The 10,664-nt window shown below is 34.0% G+C and overlaps 1 annotated feature.

The window, feature by feature from the left end:
• Positions 1,965-2,549: an enhancer, noted in NCBI's record as "CREST2 sequence used in transgene". NCBI's record gives its function as "activates a zebrafish isl1 promoter in spinal motor neurons of transgenic mice {active_cell/tissue: spinal motor neuron}" and the evidence as "EXISTENCE:transgenic organism evidence [ECO:0001131][PMID:15680372]".

The following is a 10,664-nucleotide window of genomic DNA, read 5'->3' on the forward strand; positions in this document are numbered from 1 at the left end:
CTAAGGAATGAATGCAGTAAAGAGAATCCCCATCAGCTTGATTTTTCTCAAAATTTTTAAAAAGTGAATTATGTTGAATAAAAGCCTGTGGTAAAGACAATGTTACAGAATGAAATCTCTGCTTTTCTTCTCCCATTTAGGGGAAGAAAGGCGGTTCTGTAAGAGTTAGCCCACGATGATTCTCTATGTGTATAATTTTATCATTGCTCAAACCTGTTCATCAGTAAAAGAAAAATATATATTAAAGAAGAATCTTTCAATAATTATAAGACCTTTCTCCACAGTACTTCATTACAGTGCATCATGGGAATGCAGGGTATTGTATAAGCGTTGACTCAAGAGTCAATGGCCCAGCTCCAAATCCTGACCAAATCCTCCTGTGTCTTTTGTGGGGAACAAACTTAACTTCTCTGTACCTGTATTTTCCCATTTTTAAGAGGAGAAATAGTAGATATGTCCAGCAGCATTGTGAAGCTAAAATGAATTGAAAATTATGCTTGCCTCATAGTTAGTGTTCAATGTAAGTATGACGCTTACTAGGTTGATGAAATAATGCAGAGTACTTCTATAAAAGAAACGTGTTTATAAATACTACACACAGTTTTCATGTCCTGGTTGGTTATCTTATTTTCTTCTTAAAGTCAAAAACATTTGCAAGTTTGAAATTCCAAGAGGTTTTCAGAGTATTTTTATGGATAAGGGTATAATGAAATAAAAGTAACATAGGCCACCTTGAAATGGGATAAAAATTATGTAGTGATGGTTATGAAAAATGAGTGCCCAGAATGAATTCTTTATTAACAAAGATTTTCCTAAAATAATGCAATGTAAAAACTTAGTTTTGATTTTGGAGTTATGCATGTTATAATATATAACAAATAAGTGATTAAAACACCATGTAACTCTAAATGTAATAACTTTTATTTAACTGATGATACAAGAGATATGGGAAAAATATTTTCCCACAGGGAGGAACTGAGATCTTAAGCAATTGGCATAAAGAATAAGGCAACTATTGAGTTAACATCAGCCTCAGAATAGTTTTAAACAAATTATTAGGCAAAAAATGGCACCATGGGTTTAAACATTTTACTAAATATCAGAGTAGACATTAATTTCTGTTTTGTTCCTTTATATCAATAAATTAAAAGGCTATTGTTGTCTTAAAGAAGTTAAGACACAATTTTAGTGGGTTATGTAGACTTTATGCACTTTTCTTAATAAACTGAAAATATACGAAACGCACACACACATATATAAAAATATTTCAAAATATTAGCCTCTTCTCCTGAGGTACTGCAAGGACACCTACAGGTGGCAAAGACAAGAGCAATAAGCCATTTAATTTGAGATGATTTTGACAACTTGCTGACATTGAGTTATTTTTTTGCTTAAGTTATGAAATCATATTTGTTATGTCAAATACAAACATGGAAGAAAATTTATGGATATGGAATTGTAATGATGAATAAGCATCTTCATTTTTAATTGCAACAGTGGAAGGAGATATCTGGAAAATTTAGAGTCTACATATTTTCCTTGCCTATCTAGTAAGCAGCTTTTTACCTAGGTACATAAATTTTCCTCAATGAGAAAGCAAATGCATTTGTGTGGTCTTGCAAACCCATTAGAATTTATATTAATACTCTTACCATAAAATAAGATTTTGGTGGGGAGGAAATTTGCAGAAGAATGTTAGAGAAATAGAAGAATGTGCTGGAAGGGAGATTGAAAATGAATATCATTTCTTGATAAAGAAATAGACCAAAATGTGTAACATGGTTTTGAGGTAGAAGAAATTCTACATACAGTAAGCAGCTTACAGATATTGGCACATTATTTAAACAAAAAGAGTGCTTGCTAAAACACTACCATGCAATAGATTCATACATTTCAGTTTCAATTAGCAGCCTCATTTATTACCCACCAAGATGTGAAACCGCAAGGTGAGGTTAAAGTGTCACCGAGGGTGTCTTCATCACTTCAATATCATTGCCTTAAAAGGCACTGACCAGAAGAAGCAGATGACCTCATTTCAAAATTATTACAGTACAGAGAACTCAGTTTCAACATTATAATTCATTTTATCATGGAATATTTCAAATTTATTATCAGTTTCCTAACACATAATGGTTAATCGTTAAGGATAGCCACTTTAACATAATATGAATACGCATTTCTCCATAGGTAATACAACAGTTCCTGCATTAGCATTATTGACTAAGGTACATTTAACTTCTTCACTAATACTTAATGGAAGGTTAATGTATAAGTCAGGAGATTAAATGGCTTTTACTTAAAACAAGTATATTGATTAAAATAACTTAGTGAGATTTTTAAGGTTGATGATATAAAAACAGTCACACATTTTAATATTTTATTTAATATTAAGAGCAAATTGTAGGGTGCAACAGATCAAGATTAGTGGAAGTTATTGCACTAATTGCTTGTGGAACTAATTCTTGCTCACTGTTAACAAATGGATATTGTATACTGAAAGGCAACAAATCATCCTGGTTATTTCTAGTGTTCAAGGAGTTTCTCTGTTTAAGAATTTCTATTGTTTCTTGCAATGTCCTTCAGGAATGTCTTCCTTGTATCTTACACCTGGCACCATTAAAAGATAAAATAACCTTCCCAAAACAGAGCTACTATTCAATGTCAATGATATGTAGCTCCATTTCCTTTTTTCATGCTATTGTTATTTAAATCTGTGTTAAACCTAATACATGGAATACTTGCAGTGAATTAACCAATGTTACTTTACCATTTCCTTTCTTTCCTCAAAATCCAATATTCCACCAAGTATAGTATACTGACAAATCGGCCTTGTAATAGTATGACATATGATGCCCCAGATCATTTGTTTCTCTGATTCTGTTTCTGTCTAGACATACTCAGACACCTCATCTATTCATCTCTTTTGTTTAGGTAGCACAAAGTTACACCTGCAGGGTCTTGCTCAGTTTTAACCTGAGCTTTGTATCAAAGGAATTTGATTGTAAGAAATAGTGACCAGGGCCTGTGTAAATATTGTGCCAGTGTAACTGCAGAGTGAATAACTTATAGCAGGTTTGCAGTTTATTCTAGAACTGAAAGCAGAGTGGTAAATTAGGCAATAAAAATTTACAATGCGAAATATATAGCATAATATGGATGCAATCTATGCTAATAAAAATGCTAACACTTACCTAGTACTTACCAGAGCCAGGGAATAATTCTAAGTGCTTTGAGTGTAATAGTCATTTGCAACTCAACACAATCTCATACATGGATAATTCTCACTATTTCTAACTTACAAATGGGAAACCAAGGCATAGGAATGTTAAGATACTGAGGCTTAGAACTATTCCATAAATTGCCCATGGCCATGCAGCTAATAAGAGACTTAACCAGGAGTCTAACCTAGGCAGTGTGTTCTTCAGGCCAGACTCTTACTAACTATACCATACTAAGTCCCAAGATTTGAAAACAGAAAGACTTCAGTTGAAACTACAAGACTGCTGTTCATCGTTTCAAGTCTGATATCGTTATCTAGTAAATAGATAATGGTAACATCTCTAATACAAGGTTGTTGTGAGAAGAAAGGAAAGCAATCTATATAACCCGGCTAGCATGCTACCTATCACATAATAAGGTCTCAGTAAATTAGAACTGTTACTACTATAATTACTATAATTATTTTAATTGCATACATTCTTTTATTCATCCAACAGACTTTTATTTAGTTAATGCTAACCATATGTTTGTGCTAAGTGTTGGTAAATAGGAGCCCTTGAGCTCATAGTTTTGTAAGGGGCAACAGACATGCAAACAATTAATTCTAGTTACATGATAAGTACAGTGATAGATGTATTCAGGCACAGGAGAGCAAGTAAAACATCTGGTAGCATCAAGGAAGGCCTCACCGATATGATATGTGGCATACTTATATGGTTTACCATCCTGTACGTTTTCTCAGGTTGAATAATGAATAAACCAGCTACAGACATTGCAGATTTATTCAGTTCACTGCCAGATTAGAAAAATCTTAAAATAAAAGGAAAAAAATTCAAGTTTTGTGCTATCAAACAGATGAATTTGATAAATATATTTTACTAAAGATTCTAGTAAGCTGAATTTACAACACTCTTTCTTAAAACATGAGAATCTGTGAAATATATGAACAATAGCCTTTCTCTCATAATGTTATTCTTGTGGTCATGATATAAATTATATTCTGCCTGGTGAAGCATTTTCTTACTTTAAACGAAAATTACTGTAGCTAAATTAGTGTGAAATTTTAAAAATTACAGACAGGAATACCATTTTATCAGAAAATTGTATAAGATGGAATTTTTAAGATTTACACATACATAAAGTATGTCCAAGGTAATGTTGAAATATGATTAAATCTTTATCAAATTGTTTTAACATTTTTGCTTTCTTCAAGTATGAGGGGAAGAAAGTGATTTGATTTTTAATGTGTTCTAATAAACAGGACCAGGGTTCTGTGTTAACCAAGGGTGATTGTTCCTGAGAGAGTAGAGAATATTCCCCTAAGAGCTTTGTTAATAAAACATGGTTTTAAACGAGCGTTTTAGAAAAAAAAATTGCTTTCATTATTCAAAGTGAATTTCAATGCATCCATTAAGCATTCTGAATTGGAAAACATTTTAAAATATGGTTCCAAATTTATTCTCCTCTTTTTTCCCCTTTGGTCTACATTTGAAATATTAGAGAGGGAGATGAAATAACACTTTTAGGGGTTTACCTATCTCACTCACATGCTTTCTTTTATTTGTCACACTGAGACTTAGTTTACTGGGAGTAGGAATCTTGGCTCTACTGAGATTTCAATATCTAACTCTATGAGTAGCTGCTAAGTGTCTCAAGTAACTACCTCCTAAAACTCATACCGGCAATATAACAGCACATTTAAGTTGGAATATTTCTTATTCATAATCTAAATGCCACATCGGTTCTCATTTTTCTAATTGCCAGTATCTCATTCTCATCCTCCTCAGTCTTTTCCATATCTTCTTTTCAATACTTATGGGCTGTATTGTGTCCTGACCCTGCCAAATTTTATATACTGAAGTATTTCAGTATATACCACATCCTCAGTACCTCAGAGTGTGACTGTATTTGAAGTCAGGCTGTTTACAGAGATAATTATGTTAAAATGAGGTCGTGAAGGTGTGTTCTAATCCAATATAACTGGTGCCTATTGTGGGAAAAGAAAATTTGGACATAGACACGTACAGAGGAAGAAAATGTGAAGACATAGGAAGAACACAGCCATTTACAAGCCAAGGAGAGAGGGCTAGAATAGATCCTTCCCACGAGGTCTTCAGAAGAAACCAACCCTGCCAGCCCTTTGATCTTGGATTTCCAGCCTCTAGAACTGTGAGAAAATATGTTGCTGTTTTTAAGCCTCCCAGTTTGTGGTATCTTGTTATGACAGCCCTAGCAAACTCATATGCCAACTGATATTTTTGCGTTTTTGTTTATAAATACATATGTTCCTGAGACCTTCATAGTTCATCTACCATATTGTGTGCATTTGCAATGTGTCATTTAAAAGAACCCCAAATACAGATTCTGTATACAGAAACAACAATGACTAAAAAAATACATGTATATATGTGTTTTTATATACAAATATACTGGTATGGTTGCCAGATACAATATAAGATGACCAGATAAACATGAATAAATAGCAAATAACATTTTTAGTATAAGTATAACCCAAATATTCATGAAACATTCTTGTACTAAAAAAAGTTATTCTTTATCCAGAATTCAAATTTAATTAGGAATCCTATATTTTATTTACTGAATCAGGCAACCATATTTACTGTCACATTTTTAAATGATGAATTTATGAATTCTTTGTGATTTTTACTTATTAATATTTATGATTGATGTAGATTGGCTGTGTCCCCACTGAAATCTCATCTTGAATTGTAACTCCCACAATTCCGACGTGTCGTGGGAAGAATCCAGTGGGAGGTGATTGAATTATGGGGGTGGGTCTTTCCTGTGCCATTCTCATGATAGCAAATTAGTCTCACAAGATCTGATGGTTTTAAAAAGGAGCGTTTCCCTGCACAAGCTCTCTCTTTGCCTGCCACCATTCACATAGGATGTAACTTGCTCCCCCTTGCCTTCTGCCATGATTGTGAGGCCTCCCCAGCCATGTGGAACTGTAAGTGCAATCAAACCTCTTCCTTTAGCAGCATGAAAACAGACTAATACAATGAACTTTCTCAATTAAGGGTATTTCTCTTTTTTCCATCATCTTTCTGTAATGAATGGATCTCAGACCCCATTATAGTACCTATGCTGTTTGTTATACCTTCCTCAAATTATAACCTCTACACTTAGAGACTCCAGTTTGCTATATATAATTTTTTTATAAAAACCACTTCATTTGAAAAAGTAAGTATTTTGACAAATTAAACCATACAGAAGATATTGATAATGTAGTTTAATAATTAAAAAATACATTCCAGCCTGGCGCAGTGGCTCACACCTGTAATCCCAGCACTTTGGGAGGCCGAGGCAGGCGGATCATGAGGTCAGGAGATCAAGACCATCCTGGCTAACATGGTGAAACCCCGTCTCTACTAAAAATACAAAAAATTAGCCAGGCGTGGTGGCAGGCACCTGTAGTCCCAGCTACTCAGGAGGCTGAGGCAGGAGAATGGCATGAACCTGAGAGGCAGAGCTTGCAGTGAGCCAAGATTGTGCCACTGCACTCCAGCCTGGGTGATAGAGCGAGACTCCGTCTCAAAAAAAAAAAAGAAAAATACGTTCCATAAGCTTTCACAAAGCATGAAAATTATTTTGAAACATAATGCCTGAAAATAATGTTGAAACATAATATCTTATCAAAAGGTAAATGAGACCATACAGGTACTTTTATACTACAAAAAGTATAATTTGTATTAGTTTGCAATCGTAGACTTTATAATTCATTGCATTCTATAGGGATTTATCCAGCAGAATTAAAGAAGAAAAAAGAGATAAATACTTAAAGGAAAGACTGTATGTTTTATTCTATCAAAAGATTGAAAAACAATAATGACATACTACTTCATAACCAATAGAGTGGCTGTAATTTTAAAAACTGAAAATACTATGTGTTGGCAGGATGTGGAACACCTAAAACTCTCATACGTTTCTATTAGAAGTGTTGATTCAACCACTTTGGAAAATTGCTTGTTTATTTTATATAAATAAGCAGAAACCTTGTGACCCAGCAATTCCACTGATATTTGATTTTAAAAATTAAAACATATGTTCACACATAGACTTGTTCATGAATGTTCCTAGTGCCTTCATTCATAATAGCCCAATATTGGAATAAAACTCAAGTGTCCAGCAGAATTTATCAGCAAGTAGTGGTATATTTATACAATGGAGAGGAACAAAGTACTCATATATTCATTATGTGGGTGAATTTAAAAAATTGTGTACTGAGTGAAAGAACTAGATACAAAACAGTGCAATTTGTTGACGCTATAGGAAATTCTATAATGTGTAAAATCAATCTATAGTAACAGATATCAGGAAGTGGTTACCTGGAGTAGGTAGAAAGGGGATAGGAGGCAAAAAAGCAGGAGGAAGCTTTCTGGAGTAATGGACATTTGGGGTGATTGGAGTGATGGTGAAACGGGTGTACATATTCTCTACAATTTATCAAACAACACGCTTAAAATCTGTGCATTTTACTGCATGTAAATTATACTTCAATATAAAAAGATTATTGGGGTAAAACAAATCAAAATAAAAAGATTTAAAACATTTTAAGCTTGGCTTTGTGTATCTACATATCAAAACAACATGGTTTGGTTTTAAAAGACTCTTCTATGAAACATTTTAAATAATCAGATTATAATGCACACAGATGGGTCCTTTCTCTGCTGGCCTTTTCACTGGTCAAATCGATAGGGATCACAGGCGAGGCTGAACTGAACGCCTTCTAAGAAGTGCTCTCCAAGTATTTTAATGCATTATAAAACTTGCCATACCTCTGTAAAAGGATCTTGAATCCACAGAATGCTTTTTATGGAAAGTTTGCCTTCAGAATGAAAGGAATGTTTCTGGTTTATAGACACTCTCATTTAGTCACTCTTCCTGCTATTTGTTTTACCAGGTCAACATAATTCAATACTGTAAAGTAGGTATTATAGATTGTATCTTTCTTGTGATGTACATCAAGCATTGATGCAATTGCTCTCAAGTAGTATTTAAACACTGAATATTCATGAGTCTATTCAGAGTTCTGCATAGAGCTGCTTAGGTAAAAGCTCTAGCCTCTAAGACTTTGTGATCTGAAACAAATTATAAATATTCAGAATCTCTTATAAATTAAGGTGTGAACATAACATTGAAATACTACCAAGACAATGTGGCTTAACGGAATAATTATGAACTTAATTCCTGGGGCTTCCTTGCCCATGCAAAGCAGGAAGTTGAAGCATTCTCTTTGCCTGTATTTTAGTTGCTTTTGGCAAAAACAGAAACTCTAATTTTTATATAAACTACTAAGATTTTCTGTATTATGCTTATATTACAGCTAACATTTGTTGAGCACTTATTCTGCAGCAGGCATAGTTCTAAGCAGTTTACGCATACTTACTTATTGTCTACTAACATCAAATCCTAATAAGGAGATTTTAATGTCTTCATTCTAAAGGTAGAGAAAATGAAGTACAGAGAAAAAAAGGAATAAAGAGACTATTATCTTTGGAGGAATATTAAGTAAATCTAAAATATGATTTTAAGTGAATTGCAGTACTGCTCAGGCTGTTATAACAAACTATTATAGACTGGGTATCTAAAATAATAGATAATGTATTTCTCACAGTTCTGCAGGCTGGGAAGTCAGCCATCAGAATTCCAGGGTTTGTTGGGGACCCCTTTCTGGCTTGCAAGTTGCTGCCTTCTTGCTGCATCCTCACATGATGGAGAGAGAAGGATCTCTGTTCTCATTTTCCTCTTATAGGGACACTAATTCCCTTTACCTCATCTAAACTTGGTTACCTCCTGTGTTAGTCTGTTTCTGCTGCCATAACAAAATATCTGAGACTGGGCAATTTATGAATAATAAAAATTTATTTCTCACAGTTTTGGAGACTGGAAAGTACAAGATCAAGGTCCTGGCAAATTCAGTGTCTGGTCAGGACCTGCTCTCCGGGATAGCACCTTGTTGCTACATCCTGCAGAGGGGATGAATACTATGTCCTCACACAATGAAAGGGATGAGGGTACGGAGCAACTCCTAGAAGCCTTTTTTATAATGGCATTAATCCCATTCATGAAGATGGAGACCTCATGATCTAATCTCTCCCCGCGAAGCCCTCCCTCTTAATACCAACACAATGTGGATTAAATTTCAACATTTTGTAGGGACATAAACATCCAAGTTACTGCACCTCCCAAAGGCCCCACCTGCAGATACTGTCATGCTGGGGATTAGGGCTTCAATATATGAACATCGGGGGACATAAACATTTAGTCTGTCACACGAATCTTGTGGAAAATCATACACAGCTTTGCATGTATATGTATGAGAAAGAAATGTTTATGACAAAATTATTGTGTGTTTGAAGACTCCTAAATCCCTAAATAGTCAGCCTGAGAGCTCCTAGTCTTACCTCTACCAAGCACAGTCTCAATCACTGTCTGAGTCCTCACCTCCACGTTTCTGCCATGGTGAGTACAAGAGGGGTGAAAGGAGTAACTTTCATTTTTATCCCACTGCCCCTCTAAAAGTGTTATTCGTATTTTTGTCTTGTTGATTTAATATTTGTGATAAAAACATCTATATTTGGATATTACCTGGGCGAATGTGGGTCTGGTAATTTTAAAACTATGCTATAAAGTAGTTTTGCATAAAAAGGTGTGACCACAATATAGAGACATACAAGCAGATGTATAAGAGCCACGACTTTATTTTTTAATGCAGTTTAGTATCTGGGGCTATGGGAGGTTTTTATGGCTAGAATCTTCTACAAATATATTTCTTATAGCATATTCTGTCAGTAAATATTCAAACAATAATTTAAAAATAATTTTGGAAAATGATTCTTCATATATGGCCTGAATGTGAAGGTCTACTGAGGTTTATTTGTCTACAAAGGTACACATTAATTTGTATTAAATTTGTGTGTAGGCCTCTTCAAATGCTCCTAATATTGCTTTTATTTTTGTGCCACTTTAGGATTTTTTTAAACTGCTGTCATATGATCACTTTTTCTCTTTCTTTTGCTTTGAAATCTTAATTACAAGTAGAAGGTTATAATTGCCACTCACAACTTGACACTTTGAACAGGAGCTTTATATTATTTTTTCCTGGTTAAAAAAACAGTCACCAAAGTTATATTTAAAATATTTTATCTCAGAAACATCACTAAAACACGTGTGACAATTTGTATATGATATTCACATTTTAGAGGTTATGATTAATGTGTCATAAACATTGTATTGGAATAATATATTTTTATAACTAATTCACTGAATGAAAAAGAATCTAAGGTCTTTAGCTCATTCATACATACATACTTTCTTAAGATGAGGTTCCTCTCCTATAACTTATTTGGATTCTCAGAGACTGTAATGTAGTGATTAAGATCATGTTCTCTGGAGCTAGACTGTTAGAATTCAAATCCTAG

This window comes from Homo sapiens, chromosome 5 (genome assembly GCF_000001405.40).
Source record: "Homo sapiens chromosome 5, GRCh38.p14 Primary Assembly".
NCBI lineage: Eukaryota > Metazoa > Chordata > Mammalia > Primates > Hominidae > Homo > Homo sapiens.